Here is a 24,897-nt window from a genome sequence, read left to right on the forward strand (position 1 = left end):
TGGGCCATAGTGTTTTCAGCCACACCTCAGGTGGCAGCTTGATTTCAGTATCTAAAGGGCCCGGTCTCTTTCACCCTGACATTTGTTTACTTGGTACCTGGGGTCAGGCTCCTAACTGGCAGGTAAAAGGTTGTCTCTGAGACGCTCGGGGTGGCAGCAGCTATGCACACGGAGAGCTTTGTGGTGATTATGCAGCTAAGCCAGCTGGAAAACTAGAGTGTGCGTGGAGGGGTGGGCGACAGCAGCCAGACCAAGGTAGGGAGAGGTGGGAGTTTTCTTCCAGAGCCTGGGGCCCCAGAGGTTGGGGGCCTCAGAGATTGGGCTGGCTTGGAGCCTATGCTTACCCCCAAGTCCCAGGGCCTGGCTTCTCTCCCAGTCAGAGCCTAAGCGGGGAGGAGGGGTTAATGAATCACACCCAGGGCTATTTTCAAACCCTGACTCCTCCTGTGCGACCTGCTCCCTCCCCACTCTAGGGTTTGCCGCCCCCCCGCCCCCCACACCTGTATTATTGCCCTCTGAGTTTTCCTCTCATTTTCATCCTCCTGGAATGAAAGGGGGACAAATCTTGTCTGCGGATGCGATGGGAAGGTGGGCAGCCCAAAGGCATGGAGAAGAAGGCTGCAGGTGATTTCTGGGTGGCTTTCGCAGTGGGAAGAGTGTGATGGGAAGGGTGGTGTTTTGCTGTAAGGGCATAGGGGTCGGTAGTGAAACTCTTTCACTCTAAAGGTACAGCTGCCATCTAGCTGGACATTCTGGGCTGGTTTTCATTTTAGGGACGTGGCCTTTTGTTAATGTGTTGGACTTTGGATTTTGGATTTCTGCTCCCTAGACCTCTATATTTAGTGCTAGGAAACACCACACTGGACACTGCCTCTCCTGTTTTTGGAGAATTATGCTAAACCTCTCTGTGCATCTACAGCTCCCCTCCCCCACCTAGAGAGGAGAAGCTGCCTACAGATGATATCTGGAGGTGTTTAGAGCAAGAAGGGCTGAACTGAAGGTGTGCAAAGCAAAGGGGCTGTGTGCGCTGTGTGCTTGCTTGAGACAGGGCTTGCAGTGAGTCATGTGGGGAGGATGGCAGAGCCTTCCTTATTCAAACACAATACCTCCTGAGTTCCAGCAGAGAAGCAAAGAAAGTGGCACCAAGAAGACTCGAATGTTGTCCCTCTCTGTCCTCTTAAAGTTTTAAAATTCCATTATTGGGACTACAGATTGGAGAGGGAGCAGAAGACCCCTGTGTCTAGGTTTAGAGGATAGCAACAGGGACACAAAGGCAAGAAGGTCCCAAAGGAAGGAGGGGATGGAGTCTCCAATTGGGAAGCTGTCACAGCTGCAGCTGCTTTGCTGCTAGGAGACTCCTGGAGCTCCTTATTTGAGCCATGGAAAGTTCAGGTTCAACAGATGGCAGGTTTATCACGTGCAGGCTGTGCCCTCACCTCTTTTCTGGCTAGAAGAAAGGGTTGCCTCTGCCTTGAAAAGAAGAGAAGGACCTTTTGCCTTAGGCTCCCAGTTTGGTTAGGATCAGGTGTCATGGCCCTGGGCCTTGGGAAAGCTGTTCAGCAGATAAAATAGGGACAGCAGATTTCAAAGATACAAGGGCTTTAGGGTGGGAAGTGTGAGCTCCCGGAGATCTAGGTGAGTTTTACATTCTTCCCCACCCCACAACAGGGTAGTTGGGCACTGGGTTGGGCACACAGTTGCTGGTGTCAGGTGTTTATTAAGGGGTCTTGGTTTGTGTGTGCGCACGTGTGCATGGGCATGCATTCGGGAAGGGTCCTGGTAGATAGGAATCAGTGGACTGGAGGCCACAGCCTGGGCCCTTGTCACAAGTCTGAAGTGCTGTGTTTGTGGGTGGAGTTTCCTTTTCCCCAGCCCTGCAGGTTGGTAACTTGCATGCTAAACAGTTGCTGTTCCTGTTTACCTCGACCACACACAGGAATTTTAGAACTGAATGTTAAGTTCCCTAGGAGTTCAGGGTGGTGTGGAGCAAAGAACAGGGGATTGGGAGTTGAACATGGGGAGCTTTAACTCCAGGCTCTGCCGCCCCCCTCAAATTCTCCGACTCTGGGTTTCTCCTCATTTTTTCCACTTCACTGGATTAAACTAGGGGATCCATAGCTAAGTGCTTTGTAAACTACCATGTGCTGTATAAATTATTAGTCATTAAGTTTAGGCTTGGTGCTAGGTCTTGTGGAGGACACAGAGTAAAAACCCCCAGTTCCAGGGAATGTACCATCTAGTTTGGGGGTTAGTGGCATAAATAATACATGCCACTAATTATTTATGTATTAAATAATAATACCTTGGTGAGGACTTCAAAAAAATTATTGTGAATAATTTCAAACATATATAAAAATAGAGATAATTAGTGTACTAAGACCCCATGTACCCATCACCCAGTTTCAACAGCCATTTGCCCATGGCCAATCCTGCCCTGTCCATACTCTTATCTACATCATGCCCTTGTTATTTTGAAACAAATCCCAGAAACCTTATCAGTTCATCTATACATATTTCAATACGTATTTCTAAAAGATAAGGATTCATAAAAACAACCATTATCACACCTAAAATAGTTTCTTAATATTATCAAATAACCGGTAAGTGTTCATATTTCCAATTGTTGAGAAGGACTTATTTGCCCTGGACGTCCATTCTGCCCTGGGAAATCCATTCCAGGGAGTGATTGCTTTTGACTGAGGGGAAGGTGACGGACAGAGGCAGTGGCATTTGAGCTGAACCTTGGAAGAGAGGCCCAGGAAAGGTCCCAGCCCAGATGTTAGCCGCCTCTAGGGCTCCAGATCTGGAGGCTGACCCATGGAGGCTTCTTGCGGAGACTTCCTGCCTTTGTTTCTCTAGCAGTAAATGACAGTTCTCACTCTCACACTTGCTTCCCCAGTCCAGGGCACCCAGGAGTTTGGGGTACGCAGGTCTGGGAGAATTCTGGGAGGCTGCTCTCCACCTAGGCCCCTCCCCTGCGCCTGGCCCCTGAGGCCAGTTCAGAGCAAAACAGGATGCATTCAGGATGAACGTCTTTCCCAGCTTGTCATCTAATCACCAAGGCCCAGCTTGGAGCTTCCTCTCTCATTCATGATAAAAACCCTCACTGTCTCTCTTTTCCCTTCCGCCCCAGTAAGGGTGTGCTGACTTCCTCCATATCCGGGCCAGCCCTCTACCCCCATGTGGGGCTGAGGGAGAGATTCCCTCAGTGCAGGCCTCTGCCCCCACCCACCTCACCACAGCCTGTCAGAGAGGGAGAGAAAGACCCCAGGAATGTTCTCCCTGACTGCAGGCTCCTGCTCTTGGGCTGTCTTTGGGAAAAGAGCAGCCTCCTTCCAACAAGCCTGGGGTCCTGCCACTGCTTGGTTAATCATTGAGCCACATAATAACCACCTTGGAAAGTCATCTCTAGGGGATGGTCATTAACTAACTCCCTGTCCACCTCAGGCCTTAAAGAGACCATATCCTGAACCCTCACCTTCCCCCAAGGGAACATTGACAAACATTCACTCACGGGAACTTCTGGGGCCAGTGAAAAGTCTGCCCCTCCATCCTTTACTTGGCAAACGGAAGCAGTTATTCACACCATTTGAAGGACATGGGTTCAGCTTGGATGGTATTGAGAAGGGGAGCGGAGTGAATTGATGGGGATTTGGATGGGCAGTGGGGTCCAGCATCAGAGTTAAAAAGGGGTAGGGGGGTGTTTCTAGGAGTAGTTGATCGCCTCATCTCAATTTGAAAGTCTAAAAGAGCAAGAAATGCCCACCCAAAGGGTCTGCCGATGCTGGGTATGGGGTGAGGCTGTGTGAATGTGTGTCTGTTTTCAGTACAGCTGTGGGTCCCTCCACACCAGGCTGCAGTGGAAATGGGGACAGCCAACCACATGATTGCTGCTGAGAGGCTGAGGACCTCTGTAAGTGGAGGAGGATGCCTTCCTCCGGGAGCCTGTATCTGGACAAGCAGTGGCACTTGGTAAGGGTCGGGCCAGGACCCAGACCCAGACCCAGACCCAGACCCAGACCCAGACCCAGACCCAATTTAGAAAGCTCCAGACCATATGCAGTTTCCTGCAGTTTCAGTAGGAAGAGAAGGAACCACCCCGTGGGCCTACTACAGAGTTGGGAAACGGCTTCTGGTTCTGCCCCCTCTATAGCTTTCTCTCGGTGAGTGATTTTTGCTTTCTCTGGGCCTCAATTTCCACAACTATAAAGTGGGTAGGGCAGTTGGCAGGCAGACTCAGTGGTCTGTGAGCCTTCCTTTCAGCTATGCAAGTATGCCTCCCCACTCAAGACCCTTTTCTTATCTACCAGGCAATGGTGAGCTGGCTTCAAATTCAATCAGGCCCAGACACTGAATGTTCTCAGCTGGCTGGGTCAGTTGGAGCTGGCCAAGCCCTGAATTGCCACAGCTTGGGTTCTCCTTGTGCTTGGGCATTTCTGCAGTTTGCTCTCTGGCCCCTCCCCAAGCCTGTGTCTGTCCCTAGTGGCCAGCCACTCTCTGACCCATTCAGCCACAAGTTAATGAGTGAACTGCTCCCCCTGGGTCGTACCAGCCCAAGGTGCTCCTGGGATCCTAGGTCCCTGTGGGAAGCAGCCAAGGGCCTAGCCAGCTCCAGTCACCTTTATGCTCTCTCCCACAACCCCTCTAGAGGTAGGTATGCAGGCAGAGCTCAGGGCAGAAGGACCTTTAGAGGGCACTAGGTCCAACTTTCCTTCTGAAGCTTGGGGCTTCCCGACAGGTACTTGTGCAGTTCCTGCTCACTCATGTTCAATACCTGGGAATGTGATATGTTTCAAGCAAGTTGCTTTCGTCTTTGGAATGTGTGAAAGTTTTCTCTTATGTTGAACTTAACTGTGCCTCCCTGAGGCTTCTAACCCTGGGTTCCGAGTGTGCCCTCTGGGACCACCTGGACCCTGTCTGCTCTCTCTGACCTTCAGGGATCTGAGGATGGAACCCAAGTGCACCTGTGTCTTCTCTAGGCCAAACAACCTTCAAGCGTCTGCGCTCCTTCTCAGACCTGGAGCAGCCCCCTTCCCAGCCTCATCACTGTCCTCTGTCCTCCCTACATGCTACTGTTTATGGCCCCCTTAACATGTGGGGGCAGGAAATGGGGCACTGGAAACCCCTCACTCCCCTTAGTTTATTTATAGTCTGAACTTGTTCAGATGACTTTTCCATAATCCTTTTCTGGTTACCACAACAGGTAGACTCCTAACCCCCAGAATCTTGGGTGCAAATACCTTAGACAACACTGATTTGTTTATGGTTCAGGTCCAGCCAGCTCTCACGATTGGAGAGCCCTTGGAAGGTAGGGCCTTCTTATTGGTGCCCCCATAGTGGAGGACAAGCCTGGTGTTAGTAGGTGTTCCCCTTGTTGAGTTAAATACAATGTAATATGTGGGGGGCTTCCAGCGTACCCTGCTTTCCTGCCACTCGGTTTTATCTTTGGAGTTGGTCAGGGGTGGGTGGAGGGAAGGGGATATTTTAGGGAGTACTGAAGCCGGAAATGAGTATGAGCCATGCCCACAGTGGGGCCTAGAAGAGTGAATCAGACAGTGAGAAATACCAACGTAGCCATTCCTTCCCCTGGCAGTTGATGATGATGACTATGAGTCCTCCCATTTCTTCAGTTGCCAAGGCACTTTCACTTCCATGATTCCATTGTGTTCTTAGAGCAGCCCTGTAAAGTAGATGGTATGATTTCCCCAGAATGATCTGTGGTGGTCTCCACCTGAGGCCCAGGGAAGGGAAGAACAGTCTCCAGTGAGGGAGGATTTGGAGCCCAGGTCTCCTGACCCTCAGCCCTCCCTGTTTTCCCCAAACCACACCCAGCAGCCATGGCAGCCGGGGCTGACTCGGCAGCTTCCCCACCACAGAGGAACCCCTGCCCTGGCTGCAACTCTGTTCCTGTGAGAGAGTGAGCTCCAAGGGACGTGGCCTAGGATTTCCTGTCCTTTATCTGGGCTGGCCAAAGGCTGGCCTGTCTGAGGTGTGAGATAGGCACCTGCAGCCAGCCTTTCTGCTCCAGGCTGAGGTCAAGTCAGGCTGTGGCAGAGGCAGTGAGCTTGTGGGAAGAGCTTGTCCCCAAACATCTGTCCTGAGCAGTGCCCACACCAGCAGGGCCTTCTAAATGGGAAAAACAGAGAGGGGAATGTGGAAAAGGGGTCAGAGTGGAGCAGAAGTAAAATACGTCCTGAGCTGTACACAAGCTCTCATGTTCACAGTGCTGGGAGACTTTGGGCAAATTACTTAACTTCTCTGAGCCTTCATTTTGTCAGCTCTAAAATGGAGATATGTACCCACCTCATGGAGTTGTTGAATATTAAATCCAACAATATAAATAAAATTATTGCCATTATTGTTGCTTGGTAGTACCTTCTGCAGTCCTGTCATTTGGTTGTTTTTCACTGACCTGGGGGTGGGCAGTTCTCAAACCTGCCACCTCGTGGGCATTCGGTCTGGACTTTGCAGTCATTTCAGAGTCCACCTTACCCAGAAAAGCTCCCTTTGGCCATGCCCACCCACAGGGCTCCCTTCCTCTGGCCTTCTTTAGTGGCATTCGCGACACTCAACAGGCTATAGTAGTGATGGTGACACCAATAATAATAGTGAACTCTTCTAAATTCTTGGCAAATTTTAACTTCTTTAGCATTCATGGCAATTCCATAAGGTAGGTACTGCTATCTTTGTCTCTCTTTTATTTAATAAACTTGCCCAAGGTCACATATCCGGGGAGTGATGGAGCTGGGATCAGGACCCAGGTGGTCTGACTCCACCTCCTGACATCTTTAATGACTGGGCCATGCCTCTCTCCAGATGCCTGGCCAGGAGGCAAGAGCTGAGGTTCGGGTCTCCTTCCCCACCTGAGTGCTCATCACACGCACCAGTGATCAGTCACTTCTGGACAGGCAGTCCCCAGGTCCTTGCCTGTCTGCTCTGTGCACTTCTTCTCACCCTCCATCACCAAGGTGGACAGATGGATAGAGGGAAGACATGGAGGAGTGGGTATTCATGCTCTAAAACAGAGCTGCATTGGGGTGGGGAGGGAGTGCAGGAGGGAGTTGGGCAGTGGGGGTGGCAGTGTGGGCAGTGGGGGTGGCAGTGTGGTTCTGACATCAGCACCAGGCCTGCCTGATTAGCACCTTCTAGTACTGGGGGTGGAGAACAGGGTGCTGGGTGGCATCAGGGAGGAAGAGACATTTGAATATGCTCTCTTGACAACCAGGTTGCATTATTTAGAAGGCATGGGTGGTTAGGGGCTGGCAGGAGGCTGGCTGGATTAGCTCTTATGATCACTAGCTGGCGTGTCCCATGCTAGAATTGGGTGGGAGGAGGTTGTCCAGAAGCTGTAGCCCTCCCCGAAGTGCTTCCATCTCAGGGTCTTGGGGGCTGCAAGCTTCCTTCCCTCAGGCTGTACTAGCTGCCAGCTCCATTGCTTCAGGGCTTATTCCCCTTTATCTTGCCTCCGAAGCAAGCTCCAGGGAGTGCTACGAAGGCCAGTCCATGGTAGCCTGTCTCCCTGAGAAGGATGGGCCTGGCAGCAGCTCTGGCCGAGTGCTGCAGGAGAATTCAGTTTTTGTTCTGTTTTCAGACCTTAGTACCCAGCATAGGGCTTGGCACCAAGTAGGTGCTTGGGTATTATTAGTTGAATAAATTCACAGTCCATGGGGAGTGGATTCTAAAGGGAGAGCCGAGGGAGGCTGAAATGGGAACAGGTCAACAGGAGGGCTGTGGTTATTTAGGTAGGCTTCTGGCCCAATCTGTAGTCCAACAGAAGCTACATGACCTATTGCAGCCTCAGTTTTCCCATTTGTACCATAGGCATTACCTGCTTTGGAGGAGTTCTTGTGGGGACCAAGTGACATACAGGATGATCAAGTGCTTTCCTGGCTGATAGGAAGTTAAATTCAGGCTAACCACTCTTACTACAAAAACCCTGGTAGATGATTTTGTGTCTGCTGTGTGCCAGGCCCCAGCCTAGACAATTTCTTTTCTTTAATGAGGAAGATTCTAACTTGGTAGCTCTGACTCTAGAGCCAAACTGCCTGGATTTGCATCTTGGCTCACCTCTTCTTAGCTGCTGACCTTGGGCAAGTTACTCCATATCTCTGGGCCTCAGTTTCCTCCTCTGTAAAATAGAGATATTATTGGAGCACTTAGCTCACAGGTTTGTTGTGAAGATTCAATGACATAATACACATTAAAAAAAAAAACTTAAAGAAATGTCTGGGATATAATAATGGCTCAGTACAAAGTCCATGGCTCAGGGCACATAGTAAGTACTGTATAACTATTAGTGTCTGCTATATTTTATTAATAATTACATTCAGTATCTTAAATATTGCTGTCATTAATGAGTAAGAAGTATAGAGCCAGGACCAGGGGCGGTGGTGGCTCACACCAGCAATTTGGAAGGCTGAGGCAGAAGGATTGCCTGAGCCAAGGAGTTTGAGACCAGCCTGGGCAATATAGGGAGACACCTATCTCTACAAAATATAAAAAATACAAAAATTAGCTGGACATGGTGGTGCACGCCTGTAGTCCCAGCTACTCTGGAGGCTGAGGTGGGAGGATTGCTTGAGCCCGGGAGGTCGAGGCTGCAGTGAGCTGTGATTGTGCTACTACACTCCAGCCCTGGTGACAGAGTGAGGCCTCATTTTAAAAAAAGAAAAGGAAGAGGTACAGAGAGGTGACAAATAGGCTACGTCTTCAGGTGGCTAGCCTGTTAACTCTTCCCACTGTACCCTGTAACTTCTACGCCCATAGGCCCTACAGAGCTGTAAGACCACCATTTGGGGTTCTCCTTCCCTTGGCCCTACCATGGCCTGAGCATGCACGTCATCACCCTTGCCCCCAGAGCCCTAGGCTCCGCCCCTTGCTATGTGCTCAGCATCACAGCCCTCCCTCTGGCTCTCCTTGGGGCTGGGGGAGGGGTCGTGTCTGCTCCCTTCCCGGGGAGGCCACTTCTCTCAGGCCCATTTCCTTTCTATCAGAGATAATTTTCTCTGGATCTCAGGGTGGGGCCAGGCTCCTTCAAGGCATTTCCTGCCCAGGAGTTTATATTTGGCCTGAGCAAAAGGAAAGGGAAGTAGGCAAGGGGGTGGGATGCAGACGTGGTGGCACAGGGTCAAAACAGACAAGTGCCAAGACTTTCCAGACCAAGAGAGGGAGGCAGGAGGTAGGCATGCCCCTTCTCTCAAGTGAACGTGGGTGCCCTCCCCTGAGCTTGGCAGAGTGAAGTGCTCCTTCAGGTCATAATGCCTCCACCATCAAGCAGAGTTCATTTTCTGTTCGCACATCTCTGAGCCTTGGTTCCTGGCTATGTGGTTTCTGTCCTAGGGCAAGGCTTTGAGGTGAAGACATGTGCTCAATTCCATTTCTAGTGCTGTGGTGATACCAGACAAGGGAGCAGAGTCAGAGGCCTCTATACTGTGTAGTGGGAAGTAGGGCTTCCTGTCTGTGTGTTGCCAGAACATTCGGTAGCCCTTAACACACTGCAGCGGCAACACAAAGACCAAAAGTACCCAGTGCAGAGAAGCCCCCAGTTGAATGGGGGATAGACTCACATGCTGCTGAGATGATCATGGAAATGTGTTAGGGGACTGCTTCATTGAACTGAGCCACTGGGTGTTAGGGGGTTGGTGAGAGGTCAGGGGAGGCTTCGCGGGAGTGGGTGTTTGACCTCCAGCTTGATGAAGAAATAGCAGTTTGAAGCTTCAAATCAGGCCATGTCTAGATTGTGCAGAGCCTTGAATGCCAGGGAGCAGTCAAGACTATCTGCCCCAGGCTGTGGGAGCTCTTTAGGTTGTAGAGTAGGGGAGCGGCCAGGTTAGAGCTGGGCTCTTGGAAGAAGCAGCTGGCAGGATGGCCCCTTGAAAGGAGAGGCTGGAGGCTGGGAACTTGGAGGGCTGAAGTAATCCAGGCAGGAGAACCTAGAGCACAGTTGGGCAGGAAAAAACCCAACCATTTGATGGAAAAGTTGGTAGAATTTGGTGCCTAAATACATGTGGCCAGAAGAGAGCAAGGATGACTTGAGGTTTAAGCCTAGGCAGTGGGCGTATTGGGAGGCAGGAACATATAGAGAGCTGGTTTGTGGGGAAAGATGGGTTTGGTTTGCGTTGCCACTGAGGTTCCTCGCTTGGGTCCTCAGAAGAGAATGTGAAGGAAGGAAGCTCCCCGCACTGAGACAGCCACTACGCATCACACACACCTCTGCTGCAGCTCTAGATTTTGGGGAACGGCCATTAGGAGATGTGGAAACTGAGGTTCAGACAGAGGTAATGGCTTGCCTGAGGTTATGCAAGTTGCTCATGGAGCTAAGGCCAGAAGGTAGTTCACCTGACCGTTAGTCCAATACTTTCCACTCAAACCACAGTGGAGAGCAGTCACCGCTGGCCTAATATCTGCCCCAGACTGGTTTGGCTGGCATCATTTATCTCTAGGCCAGGGACTGGAGATGGTGGAGTAGCACATGGCTCATTAAAACAACTCTCTCTTTCCTAGGCACCATGACCTTGTCAGAGCACCTGGGACTGGGTTGGGGGCAGGAGCCCCTTGGGGGCAAGAAAACTAATGGAGCAACTGCAGCAGAGCAGGTGGCAGCTTTGACCTTCCTTGTCATAGGGAAACCCAGTGCCAGGCAGGAATGTTAGCTGTCTACTTTGGTCCTGCCATACCAAGCTCAAGCCCAGGAGCCCACAGGCTGGGCTGCCTCTGGACCCAAATTCTCCAGCAGCCTCAGTGGGCCTGAGGTCTGGTTTAACCTCAGGGTGCTCGTGACTCTCCCTCATTTACAGCTGCACACAGGAGCTCAGGCCACTGCTTCACGGAGAGGAGCGGGGAACCACAGTTGGGGGTTTCTTGTGTAACTTCCATTTTTAAATAAAATGCCAAACCAGAATTGCCACCTCTTCCTGGCCGATCCTGCAAGGTGTCCACGGTGTGCAAAGGCTAGGGACCACCACTGAATGTTGCACCCATTCTTCACTTCAGCCCCCAGGACATCCTGGGGGGAGGGTGGGCTGCCCAGAGGGGCCGGAGGCCCCAGATAAGGCAGAGGCCAACCCTCAGGATCTCGTGCTTCAGATCTGGAGTCAACCTTCCTTTGTCTGGGGCTGTCTGGTGTGGTGTATGATGTTTAGCAACATCCCTGGCCTCTACTGAGTAGATGCTAGCAGCATTTACTCCTTGACCCCCACCAATTGAGATGACCAAAAACGTCTCCAGACATTGCCAAATGTCCCCTGGGGGAAAAATTGTCCCTGGTTGAGAATCCCTGTGGTAGAGACTAGAAGTTTTTTCTGGGGTGTGCAGTGTTGAGAGAGGGATGTTATACAGAAGGTAGAACCACACACCTGAACCTACCACTGGCCAGCTAAAAGATTCAGTGGCTTGTTTTTCCTGCCACCCTGTCCTAGGGGCCCCTCCTGGGCTGTTTGCTTTGGTGGTGCCTCATTTGTGACAGGGAGGCTCCAGAAGTGTTGCTCGCATGGGCCTGGAACTTGGCATCCAGCTGTAGCCCCGGCCAAGACCGAGGCTGGCATCTGAACAGGTGCAGCAGGGCCCTGAGTTCTGCCCGGTGACCTAACAAGCCAGAGGCCAGCCAGGGTCCAGCACTGCCAACCTAGGCTGGGTGAAATACAGAGGCCCTTCCTGCGGTGCCCCTCCTGTGAGGTTTGGAATGTAGGATGAGAGCTATTTTGGTCCTGTCTCCTTTCCTCCCTGTGCCTCCCTCTGTAAGAATCAAGTTAGAGTTGTGATTCCAGTGAAGAGCAGCAGGAGCAGAGAGAGGCACCAGTGAACTGGACCGCCCCATAGATAGGGCACTGCAGACCCCCTTGCATGTCTGCTTCAAGGTCAGGAGGGAAAGTCTTGGTGGCCCTGTAATCCCTGACAGCTCTTAGTACAGGTCCTCATGAAGGTCCCTTTCCCACTGTCCCCCAGGGAGAGAGGTGGCATAGCCAGTCAGCCACCCATTACAGCACTTCTTCTAGGGGCACTGCCAACCTAGAGGGTAGCTTTGTGCAAATTCAAATGAAACAGTGCCCCTGAGGGATGCAGCCCTGTGCCAGGGCTCAAGCCTTGGTGGGCAAGCTTATTTTGGCCTGGGTCCCTTAGTGTTTCCTTAGGGGAGGGTAAAAGAAGCTGCTCAGAGCAGTTGGGGCCACATGCTGAGGATGGTAGCTTCTGAGATACAAGCCCTCTGCCAAAAGGCCAGCACCTTCTCCTTAAGAGGGGTCCCTCTCTAGGGTTGGAGAGCGGGCAAAGGAAATGGGCCTTGTAGCAACCAAAAGAAATGATCTGAGAAGCAGTTTGCCAGGGCCTAGCATTTCTGAGCAGCAGTAGCAGGGCCTGCAGTGGTAGGCGACTCCTTGCCTGCCTCCTAGCCCTGCCTTGAGGGACCAGCCTCACAGAGCCTGCCTTGGGAACTGGGGTTGTCACATAGATAGTGGCATCACAGGTCTTTCTCCGCCGCTCAGGACACTGGCTTTTCCTCCTGCACTCACTGAAGGTGGGAGAGACAAACATGGAGACCAGACCCTGTTTTGGAGGCCCCCATCCTCTGGCGAGGGCCACGGAGGAGATGCTTTTCCAAATAGGAAGCTAAGTCAGGTAAAGGAGGCCACCACGTGTTTAAAGTCACCTTAAGGAGCAGGTCAGCTAACTCAATGACCTTCACAAACACCGACTGCCTGCCTTCCCTCAGCCATCATAGACATTCACACTGATGCTGGTCACTCTCCCTGCTCCTGCACTCAGGTCTAGAGAGAACGTGGGCCTATGAATAGAACAGGCCTGTGACTGGTCTCTGGGTAGAATTTTCCAGGGACCTATATCTGTGGCTTTCTAGCAGGCCTTTTCTGTTTAGGGCGGTGGTCTTTATCTCAGGCTGTACTTTAGAAGAACCGGGAGAGCTCTCAAAAACAAACAAACAAAAATGAACCCTATCCCCAGAGAGTTTAATTTAACTAGTCATGGGTGGGGCCCATTAGTAAAAGCTCCCCAGGAGATTTTAATGTGCAGCCAGATTTGAGAGGTGAGGGAGGAATGGGACGGGACACCCAAGAGCTCCAGCAGTAATAAAGGATGCTTTCATCTATGTCCCTGTGACATCCATCCATTGCTTGTCTTGAGTCCTGTATCTTCCCGCCTGGTCCCCATGCCTGATACTGTCTTTATGGGTAGGCATGAGCAGGCTGAACCCAGGACCGGGCAGCTCTCTTATAACCCACTGAGTGACCAGAAGGTACAAGGACTAGGGTTGCCTAGTAGTGGTGTGAAGAGGGGGTACCCAGCCCAAGAGTGGGGTTGGTGATACTGGCTGGCTGAGGCCTTACTTCCTGTAGTCTAGATTAGATGCCTGTTGCCTTCTCTCTTCCTCCTGGCTCTCTTCTCTCACCTCTTTTCAACTGGTACACAATCTGAACTGTGTCTTAAAGACTAGATGGGTACAAAATTCAGCTCATCTTAACAAAAATAGCCTTCATTAATGATAACTTTTATATAGCCACTTTCAAAACCAGCAAAAGCCCGATCAAATCTATAAGGTAACCACAGTGGTAGACAGGAAAGTCGTTAGTCTCCACTGTATAAATTTGGAAACCAAAGCTTAGAGAATGACACGAGTTGTCTCAGATGACTTAGTGGCAAGCATGGAAGCTGGCTTGATTAGAAAAAAGCTTTTTTTCCAACTTAGTGATCATCTTTGGGCATTATTGCATCTCCCAGTGAGAAATGTTGCTGCCTCTTTCCTGGGTGCATAAGCCCTATGCTTGAGTGTTTCTCAAGACCAGAAGGCCTGCTTTTTTCCTGGTTGCATCCTTCTCAGCATAGAAAACTGCTCTGTGCTGTCTCTGGGACGTGGCCTGTGTAAATGTAGGTGCAGATACTGTCATTGACCTCAGAAAGCATGTGCTGCTGCTCAGCCTTTCCTTCTTTGATGCTCCCTCCAGGAGACCTGTGGGTTTGGCTCTGAGGCCTGATTGGACTCTGGAGCTTTCTAGTATGCCCTCTCCCCTGACTCTCCCAGCCTGGGTCATCTGGGCCCCTCCCCCAGGGGCTTAAGTCTCAGTGGAATCCAGTTTGTGCCAGCTGACTGCTGTTACTGACCTATCCTGGCACATCACCTAAGCTTTGGCCAGAGCATGCACTGCCTGCAGAATATAGCCTTTAAAACTGCTGGCAGCCATGCCTTGGAATCTGCATATCTGGATACAGAGGTAGGGCAAGGGGCCACAGACATTCCTACCTCACTCACCTCAGCCTGCCCGTTGTCACTCTCCCCACCAGATACATAAGCCCATCCTCAGTCCGGGCCACCTGGGCTTCAGCCCCAGGTGAATCGAGTCTACTGGGGGTGGGGGTGGGGTCGCTCCTGGCCTCAGCCTGGGTAGGCTGAGACGAGTGGGAGGGACAAGGCAGAGCACCTCAGTTCAGCCTTTAATCACCAAGACATATGTCTCTGACTGATCCATCTGGGAGGGAGCCTCGGGGCCTCCCAGCCCTCCATGAGATGGTGTATTGTGGGGAGCCAATGTCCCTGACATCCTGTTTGGTAATAACCCATTACATTCTCTAGATTCCTGTTAAGGAGGGCTGGTGGGGAATTCAGTCTGTAGCCCTACTCCAAACTCCTTTGCTCCTTTGTCTTTGGAGCAATTGCAGCCTCTTTGAAGGCTCCTTACCTCACTTCCCCCAGCCATTTGGCTGCAATTCTGACAGTGGTCTGGGCAAAGCCATTGTCCGGACCCACAGGGGAACGCAGCAGCTGGGCTTCTTTCTCTAATTTCCTCTTTTTCTTTGGGACCCTTCAGAGTCAGAGTTGGGGTGGAACACATTTGTTGAGTGCTTGGTATTATGTGCCAGGGGCTTTTACTTTCTGTAGTATTTTATTTAATGCTCTCAGTAGCTATAAGATGTGGATGCTGGCTGGGTGTGGTGGCTCACACCTGTAATCCTAGCACTTTGGGAGGCTGAGACAGGGAGACAGGAGGATCACTGGAGGCCAGGAGATGGATATCAGCCTGGGCAATATAGTAAGACCCTGTCTCTACAAAAAATAAAAAGAAAATTAACCAGGTGTGGTGTGGTGGATGCTATTGTAGTCCTAGCTACTCAGGAGGCTGAGATGGGAGGATCACACAAACCCAGGAGTTTGAGCCTGCAGTGAGCTGTGATAGCGCCACTGCACTCCAGCTTGGTTGACAGAGTGAAACCCTGTCTCAAAAAGAAAAAAAAAACCCATAAACATGAAAAATAAAATAAAAATAGAAAAAAGATGTGGATGCCATGGCTCCTATTTTACCAAGAAGGAAACAGAAACCTGGAGAGGTTATACAACTCGCCCAAAGTCAAAGAGCTAGTGACTGACAGCATCAGGATTTGAACCCTGGGTTGTGACTCCACTAGACCAGAAGGAGCAGGAAAACAGCCTGGGGGGCTGGGGTTGGTTCCTTTGAGTCTGAGCTCCTTGCTTGGCTGGCATGAGGGCAGGTGGCATAATGCAATGGCAAAGAGCACTGAACATGGAGTGAAAAGATCAGGGTTATAGTCTCAGCTGTGACACTTTACCCTGTATGACCTTGGAAAAGTCTCTTGGGCCTCAGTAGGCCTTATACTGTAACTTTTAAAAAATACCAATGTGGAGAGTCCTACCGCAGATCAATTAAGCCAGCCTTCTGGGGAAGGGGCCCTGGGCACTGGTATTTTTTAAAATAACACTTCCTAGCTGATTCTTATGTGCATCCAGGGGTGAGAATCACTGAGCAATGTGATTTAGACCAAGACTTTTCAAACTTTAATGTGTTTGCCCAAGGGTCTTCTTAAATATAGTGGTTCTGGGTGTGGGGCTTGGGATTCTGCATTTCTAACAAGCTCCCAGGTGATGTTGATGCTGCTAGTCTGGGACTACACTTTGAGTAGCAAGGGGCTACAGGGCTCTAGGTAGTCATGAAAGAACTTGGCATTGACCTGAGTGAGATGGTCCCCTTCTGCCAACCCCCAGCTAGGGCCAATGCCTAGCATCAGGGGAGGGAGGTGCCTCTCCTACCCTCTCCATTAGCCATGAGTAACTGAGGGCTGCAGTGGGATTTTAAGGGTGTGTTCCTGGCATGCAGGCCTACCCTAGAGATTTGCTCCCTTTCCTGGGGTGGCCATACTTGTGACCCTTTAGGGGCCACTGTCTGCTCCTGCGCCTGCCTCTCTGGAAGTCCTAACCTGGTCCATTTTCTGGCACCTCCCTTTTGTCCTAATAACAGGAAAGCAGAGCTGGCTGCCAGGATGCGTGCTAAGATGGGGAAAGGGTCTCATCCCAGGGGCATGACAGGAACAGGGACAGGGAAGTGGCTGTGGCAGCCAGCTCAGCTGTCCTAGCAGCAGAACCATGTTCCTCACAGGCTCCCTGGGCAGCTCCCTTTGGACTGGTCTTACATCACCTAGACTACCACTGGCCTGGAGCACAGGATCCTTTTTCAGGCTTGCATTGCCCCCTGCCAGACAGGTGGAGGTACTGCTAGCAGGGCTCTGTCAGACACTTTCCAGGGACCCCTCAGAGGTCCTGGCGATTCCTAGATCTCTATCTTAGGTTAGGAAGTTGCAGTAACATAAAACATACATGTATGCATGCACACACACACACACACACACACACACGGAGAGAAAGAGACGAGAGAGAGAGAGAGACAGAGAGACAGAGAGAGAAAGAGAGGCAGATGCATGCACAGACTGAGGTGCCTGTGGGTATATACAGGTGCATGGTCCCACAGTGATCCTCATGAGTCATGGACATGAGCAGATTTGGCTACAGCTACATGTAGAGACAGATGCTGTGGTGGGCACTGACCTGTTGCATTCACTCACAGAAATGCAGAGATGTTCATCCTTGCCCTTACCCCCATTTGCCCCCAAAACCTGCAGGGGCTCCAGGGGCTGCAGAGCCCTCTCTTCTTTCCCTCAAATCCTCATCAGTGTGTGACCCTTGAGGAGCCCATTACTTTTTCTGACTGACTTCTGACTTCCCCCACTCTTCCCTCCACTGTCTACTCACCTAGCATCTCTGAAATACTGTTTTGTCCTTCATCTTATCTGTCCCAGCCACTAGGATTTCATCCTGGGTTTCCTTGTGAGTGAGCACTGGGAAGAGAGAGCTCTTCCTGTCTTGGAAAAACCTCACCAGCCTCCTTAGAGTCCTCTGGTCAGGGGGGCCAGGCGAGACTGTGGCCACAGGTGCTGAGGAAATGGAGGATGTGTTGGGGGCAGGACTCCATGGCAGGATCAGCTCTGCTGAAGCCAGCTGACTTCCCCAACCAACCCGGTGATGCCAGGTCCCATGGTCCCAGCCCCATTCATCTTGGCATCACCTGGGTGGGAAGCAAATAACCGCCCAGGCAGGTGCAGGGCTTTGCTGCTGGTATTTGGCCTACCCTGACTAGGAGCGCCTCCTCTGTGGCTTTAGTCCAGCTGCACATCTCTGCTGGTGCTGGCAGGGGTGCTCAGCTCTGTGCCAGAACTCCCAGAGCAGAGGCGACAGGCTGACCTAGCCATGGCCCCCCAAGACCCCGACAGGCCAGTACTGTGTCTTCATGACACTCAGCACTGCACTATGACACAAATAGGCCAAGAGGGCTGGGGCAGTACTGGGAAGCTCCCTGAGGAGGGAGGACTATAATGAGCATGGGGGTGCTGCTGTCAGACTCAGCTGGGATTCCAACCCTGGCACTGCTGCTTTGTCCACTGTGAGACCATAGGCTGAGCCTGTTTGTTTGTCTGTAAAATGGGGATAGCAAAGCCATCACCAGTTATTGTGTGTGTGAAATGAGAGTTGGCTGTCAAAGTGCTGAAGAATGTTAGATGCGATGATGAGAAAGAGAATGATAGGAATGGTTGAACATTTCTACTTCCTGCCTGGGCTAAGGTGGTCTACCCAGGGCCTTGGAAGGGGGTGAGTCCCTCAGAAAGGCTCGGGGGTGGACACAGCTGTGGCTTCTTATCCCAGCAGGCCTCCTTGACCCCAGATGATCCTGGTTCCTGGGCAGGGGGTGGGAGAGTGGGAGGGGTTTGGAACAGGCAGGGAATGAGACTCAAGAAAGCCAGGGCCAGGATGCCCAGACAGTAGGGCTTGGGGAGCAGAGGGCCTCCTGGCTGGCTATGACTTGGAGCAAATGTGCTAGGACCTCTGGCCTTCTCTTGCCATTGCTAGATCACCAGAATGAGACATGTCTGCCTGCTGGGGTTGGGCAGCATGCACCTAGGGCCCTGGTGTCAGCACCCTCCTAACCCCATTTCTTTGCCTGTTTCTTTCCCTTGTTCTGTTTTAGAAGCCGAGGCCAAAAGAGCATGTGAGTGGCTTCAAGCAACAGGATTCCCTCAGTATGTGCAGCTTTTTGAAGGTAAGGCCACTCAACTGTTTACCCTCCCATACTTCCCCTAGCCCTCAGTTTTTCATCTGTTAGATGGGGCAAGTCAGATTCTCTTTCCAACTACACACAAGCAGTGTCTCCTGGCCCTGCTCCGATTTTTTTCAGGGACTTTGCTCCTGCAGTTGCACCTTTCTCTCCTGCATCATCTCTAAGGGATTGCTCTCACAACTGCCACAAGCTCTGCTGTTGCCCATGCCTTTAAAGTACCTTGTCTTGACCAGGGTCATCACGTGGTACCAATCCTGAGGATGCCATGTAGGTACACACGGTGTGAAGAATGCCGCCTGGAGTTGTACACCCTGGTGGCCCAGGCTTGGCCTCACTTGCCCCACAGTGATGGCCTCATTTCTCTGTTTTCCTTCATTTCTCTTTCGGGTTTTTCTAGAGTTCTTCGCACTTGCTGTTTCCCTTCCCCTTTTCTCCCCACACCCCTACTGCACCCTGGCTTCACCTCCACCTCGCCTGGTCAACTTGCCTGGTCAATTCACCAGTGACCTCCATGTGGTCACACTCAGTGGTCACTTCCCAGTCCTCATCTTGCTCCATCTCTCAGCAGCATTCGGTGCCACTGGCCACTCCTTCCTTCGGCTTCTGGAATGCCCCCCTTTCCTGGCTGCCTCTCTGGCTGGGTTCTGTCTCCTTAGCTGACTCTGCTTCCTCTAACTGATATCTAAAGTTTAGGATATCCCAGGGCTCTGTCCGGGGCCCTCTTCTCTCTCAACATTTCTTTCTCATGAGATCTTTGTCTAAGTACTATCCATATTCTGATGACTTCCAAATGTCCAGACCTCATCCCCAAGCTCCAGATTCATATATTCACAGCTGCCAATTCAATCTCTCTACTCAGATGTCTGATTGGTGTCTCGGATTAAACAGGTCTGAAACCAACTCATGATGGTACCACCATTTACCCACTTGCTCAAGCCCCATACCCAGGAGTCATCCTTAATTTAATTCCTCCTTGTTCCCATCTCCTATCTCTAACCCTTCAGCAAGACCTTTTTCCCTCCAGAACGTATCTTGAATCAATCCACTGCTTACTACCTCCACTGCCACAGCCTGGTGTGACCCAGTGTCACAGCTCACCTGGGCTAGTGCAGCAGCTTCCTGTGCTCTTGCACTCTCATCTCTACACTGCAGCTGGAGGGCTCTTTTTGGCCATAGGTCTGACTGTCACTCCTGCTCCAAACCCTCCGATGGCCTCCCAGCACACTCAGAATGTAATACACACAGACACTCTGCTCTGGCCTGTCAGACTGCATTCTCCAACTTCCATTGATTACTCTTACCTTTGTTCACAGGGCTCCTCTCTACACTTGCTCACACCAAGCTCTTTCCCTCTTCAGAGCCTTGATGCTGATGTTCCTCCTGCCTGGAACTCTCTCTGCAGTTTCCTTGCACAGCTGGCTGCTTCTCATCTTTCAGGACTCAGCTCGGATGTCACTGCTTTCAGAAAGCTCTCTGCTGACCACCTCTCTACAAGCAGCCTCCACCCCTACCAGCCTCCCTTTACACTATCATGCTGGCTGATGTCTTCCATGACTGCACCATCTTGGTTTTAAGTACTGTTGCTTATCTTTTTCCTTTAAGAGTGTAAACTCCAAGAAGGCAGGAACCGTTTTTGTTGTGTTCACTGTTGTATGCTGTATGGTTTGCTCAAGTGTCTGGCACAAAGTAAATGCTCAATTGGATACTCATTAGTTGAATGAGTAAAGGAACAAATGGGCTTGCTTCACCAGTAAGGTAGAGAGCTGTGAGACTTCTCAGATTCTCTCTTCCATTCCCCCAACTCCTTTCTTTCCCCTCTCCCCTCCCTAAGTCCCAGGGAGTGTGCTCTGGGCCACAGGGGGATGCAAGGTATTGTTTGGCTACTGTGCTGTCCTGTCCCTTCTGTCCTTGCTCCCACCCTACTCCCCCAAGTTCACCTTGGGCCAAGGAGAAGTTTCCCTGCCTGAGCAGCCCAGGATTCAAAGGGGAATGGGGGAGCCCGTGTTGGGCTCTTGGCAGCCACCCGGGGTCTTGGGCCTGCTATCTCCCATGGACCTGCCTTACTGACTGACAGAGTTCTTTGGGTCCAGCTCAGCCCTCTAGGCCTCTCCCAGACCTTTCCCTGAACTCCCTGGGCACCCTCCTTTATTCCTGACTTTTTTTCCTTCTGCTTTGCCTCTTGTCTTCCTGCTCCCCCTCCTTCCTGGCCGTTCCCTTCCAGCCCAAGGGCTGCTGAGGCTGAGTTTGTGATATACCACTGCACTCATCTTTGCTTCTCTCTGCCATACAGAAGGTTCGTTTCCCCTGGATATTGGCTCTGTGAAGAAAAACCACGGTTTTCTGGACGAGGACTCTTTGGGGGCCCTGTGTAGGTAGGTGGGCTGAGGGCCAGGCCTGGGAAGCCAAAGGCCTGGCTTGAAGCTTCCTCGTGGAAAAAAACATCCCTTGTACCCTCTAACAGAGGAGGAGCCCAGCTTACTAACAAAGCTCATCTTCTGTGGTCACATTGCTCATTCTGTTCTTTGTGTTTGTGATACCCTCAACCACCCAGTCACTCTAGCTAGAAAGCCAAGATCTGGCCTTGTTTCTTTTCTCCTAAAGTTATAGCCCCCAAATATTCCTCTGCTTCAGTCCCTCTCTACTTACACCAGCTTGGCCCTTGTTTGAGGCCAAACCATGGCTTCTCCTTGGATCGATCACAAGGCTTCAGCCTAACTGGCTTTAGTCTTGATAGCCCATCTCTCCCCTCCCCTCTCCCTCTTCCCTCACCCTACTCCCAGATCGATCTAGATCCACCAGCGTCGCATTGTAACAGCTCCAAATGGTTGTTCTTTCTGCTTAAAATGTGTCACTGCCTAAGGATAAAAATGCAAAGACTTTTTAGCATACCACCCAAAGCCCTTTGCGAGCTGGCTCATTAGCCTTAGCCCCATTGGTCTCATGCCCACACTGGTCTGTTTGCTGACTGTATACCTACAGTGTCCTGTGTAAGCTTGGGTAAGAGTCCCTGTTTCTCTCACCTTCAAAATCCCATTTGCATCCTCCAGGAAGCCTTCTCTGACTGCATCCCTCCTTCATGGAAGTTGCTTGTCTCTCCCTGTGTTTGTCTGCTGTGCCTTCTGTCTGCTCTGTCTTTGAACACGCCCCATTTCTGTAGGGTTTATTTCCACTCTCTTTGTAAGCTCCTGGAGGGCAGAGGCCATAATCTTCCCAGCATTGTGTCTGGTTCTTAAACCTTCACGAATATTGGAGCTTGCGAGAAGTTTTGATGGCTTGGGCATGTGAAGTGGCAGGTGCATCTTGGTAGGCTCTGCCAGGCTTTGGGGATGGGGACCCTTGGTTGGACACTTCCATTTTGTTACAGGAGGCTGATGACCTTGAATAATTGTGCCTCGATGAAACTGGAGGTTCATTTTCAAAGCAAGCAGGTGAGTCATGGCAAAGCGTGGGTCTGTGGTCTTGTGGTGCCATAAGGAAACCCAGGGCATACGTAAACCATTTGTAAAACTAGCTCCAGTATCCCAGGAGTCTGAGATGTCCAGAGCAGTGCCTTTCCCCAGCTAGGGGTAGAGATGGAGGAGATCTAGGACCCCATTCTTTCCTGGGAACTTGCTTTCTTGCTTTTTTTTTTCTGGGGCTTTCTATACCAGAGGCCTGTAGTCAGGTGGGGCAGCCAAGTGACCAAAGCCCTGGGCTGTGAGACAGGAGGCCCATGGGGCCTGGTCTCAGCTCTACCACTGATTACTGAGGGACCTCAGGGAAACCTCTTCCCTTCTGGGCCTCAGTTTCCCCATTTTGCAAAGAAGGAGATGAACTAGAAAATCTCCAATTCCGTCCAGCTCTGTTGTGATTCTAATCTAAGACTACAGCCTAGAGCTTGGGAAGGTCTGTCACTGACTTAATGTATATCATTGACCTTGGGCAAGTGGCTTCTGGTTTGTAGGTTTGTTTTCCTATCTGTAAAATTGGAAGGGGGGTTAGATTAATTAGTTGACCATTACCATTACCATACATCTGGGCTCTGTCTGTGACTGCTGGCTTCCTCTGGCACTCCCAGAGCTAGCTCTCCCCACCTAGGCCATGTTCTCAGCCAGAAAGCAGGGCCCTTCACCTCAGAGTCCCCCAAGAGTTTGGAAGCAGAGAGTGGAGTACAAGCAAGGACTTGTGGCCTGGGCTTCTCTGACCTGATCCTGCAGTGCCTTTCCCAGAATGAAGACTCAGAAGAGGAAGAGCAGTGTACCATCAGTAGCCACTGGGCCTTCCAGCAGGAAAGTAAGTGCTGGTCTCCTATGGGGTCCTCTGATCTGTTGGCCCCACCGAGCCCTGGCCTGCCAGCGACCTCAAGCTGTGAGAGCGTCCTCACCGAGCTTAGTGCCACCTCTCTGCCAGTCATCACCGTGAGCCTACCACCCGAGCCAGCAGACTTGCCCTTGCCAGGCCGTGCCCCCAGCTCGAGTGACCGGCCCCTCCTCAGCCCCACCCAGGGCCAGGAGGGTCCCCAGGACAAAGCCAAGAAGCGCCATCGTAACCGTAGCTTCCTCAAGCACCTTGAATCTCTGAGGCGGAAGGAAAAGAGTGGCAGCCAGCAAGCAGAGCCCAAGCATAGTCCAGCCACCTCAGAGAAGGTCTCCAAAGCCTCATCTTTCCGCAGTTGTCGTGGCTTCCTCTCAGCTGGATTTTACAGGGCCAAGAACTGGGCCGCCACCTCAGCCGGTGGCAGTGGTGCCAATACTCGGAAGGCCTGGGAGGCCTGGCCTGTGGCCTCGTTCCGGCATCCTCAGTGGACACACCGGGGTGATTGCCTGGTGCACGTTCCTGGGGACCACAAACCAGGCACATTCCCTCGCTCCCTGTCCATTGAGAGCCTGTGTCCTGAGGATGGACACCGCCTGGCAGACTGGCAGCCAGGTAGGCGGTGGGGCTGTGAGGGGCGCCGGGGCTCCTGTGGCTCAACGGGCAGCCATGCCAGCACGTATGACAACTTGCCTGAGCTGTACCCAGCTGAGCCTGTAATGGTTGGGGCTGAGGCTGAAGATGAAGATGATGAGGAGAGTGGGGGCAGCTATGCTCACCTAGACGACATCCTCCAGCACGTGTGGGGGCTACAGCAACGAGTAGAGCTGTGGTCTCGGGCCATGTACCCAGACCTGGGGCCTGGAGATGAGGAAGAGGAGGAGGCCACTTCATCAGTAGAAATAGCCACAGTTGAGGTCAAATGCCAAGCTGAGGCTCTCAGCCAGATGGAGGTTCCGGCCCATGGAGAGTCCCCAGCCTGGGCCCAGGCTGAAGTCCAGCCAGCAGTCCTGGCTCCGGCTCAGGCTCCAGCTGAGGCTGAACCAGTGGCACAGGAAGAGGCTGAGGCCCCGGCCCCAGCCCCGGCCCCGGCCCCAGCCCAGGACAGTGAGCAGGAGGCACATTCAGGCGGGGAACCCACCTTTGCCTCTAGCCTGTCTGTGGAAGAAGGACACTCCATTTCTGACACTGTGGCCTCCTCCAGCGAACTTGACAGTAGTGGGAACTCCATGAATGAGGCTGAGGCTGCGGGGCCCCTGGCTGGACTCCAGGCATCAATGCCCCGTGAACGGCGCGATTCAGGTGTTGGGGCCTCACTTACCAGACCCTGCAGGTGAGAGTTTGGGTTGGGATGGGGCGGACGCAGGGTCTCCTGTTCTCTCTCTGTCTCTGAAGCTGATTTCTCAGTCATGAGGCCCAGGGCTAAGTGCTTGGCGGCTGCGTTATCCCCTCACAGCCAGCTCAGGAGAGAGAGTACAGGACTTGGGAATCCAGAAAGTTAGGTCCAGAACCTGCCTGTGCTGTGGCCTTGAGGAAATGATGCTCTCCTCTCTGGGCCTCAGTTTCCTCATCTGTAAAGTGAGGGAGGATGCTAGAGGAGATGGTCTCTGGTCCCCAGCTTTGCCCATTCAGGGTTTCTTGGAGCAGCCCCTCCACAGTAGTCTTGGGATGGGCAGGGGTCTTCACTGCTTATTGGCACTAGATGGGCCTGAGCTCTGTGCCACCCTCCCCAAGAACTTCTTGGCCCCTAAGAAGCTGAGTCCAAGCTTTTTCCACCCTGGGGCCTCAGCAGCAGCACTAGAAAGTGTTCCCAGCTCCCTGCATTTTTTCTTTGGGGAGAAAAAAGGGGACCACAATAACACCTTTTCTAAGGTTTAGCCAAACCTGCTCCTCTGGGCTTCTCCACCCCTCTCACCGCCCCCCACCAGGAAGCTCCGTTGGCATAGCTTCCAGAACTCCCATCGTCCCAGCCTCAACTCAGAGTCGCTGGAGATCAACCGGCAGTTTGCAGGCCAGATCAACCTCCTGCACAAGGGCTCACTGCTGCGGCTTACCGCGTTCATGGAGAAGTACACTGTGCCCCACAAGCAGGGCTGGGTCTGGTGAGTGGCTCCTGGGCCATGGAGGGTGGGGAACTGCTGACTCAGGTCCACGTCCCCAGGCAGGGTCAGCCCAGGAGGTGGGTGCAGGCAGGCAGGGC

General features: G+C 52.1%; 1 protein-coding gene across 7 annotated transcripts in view; it reads left to right on the forward strand.

Moving 5' to 3' along the window:
* STARD8 (StAR related lipid transfer domain containing 8) overlaps positions 1-24,897 on the forward strand; it is a 78,171-nt gene that overhangs the window by 46,934 nt on the left and 6,340 nt on the right. For 3 of the 7 annotated variants that reach the window (NM_001142503.3, XM_011531069.4, NM_001142504.3), the window contains 5 exons: positions 18,315-18,386; positions 20,695-20,776; positions 21,769-21,832; positions 22,613-24,030; positions 24,626-24,799. In NM_001142503.3, coding sequence (NP_001135975.1) covers positions 18,315-18,386; positions 20,695-20,776; positions 21,769-21,832; positions 22,613-24,030; positions 24,626-24,799 — 1,810 coding nt within the window. Of the gene's footprint in view, positions 1-6; positions 625-18,314; positions 18,387-20,694; positions 20,777-21,768; positions 21,833-22,600; positions 24,031-24,625; positions 24,800-24,897 lie in introns of those variants that run through there. The other 4 variants (XM_005262314.5, XM_005262315.4, XM_047442679.1 and 1 more) reach the window with 3 other exon arrangements.

Source organism: Homo sapiens, chromosome X (genome assembly GCF_000001405.40).
Source record: "Homo sapiens chromosome X, GRCh38.p14 Primary Assembly".
NCBI lineage: Eukaryota > Metazoa > Chordata > Mammalia > Primates > Hominidae > Homo > Homo sapiens.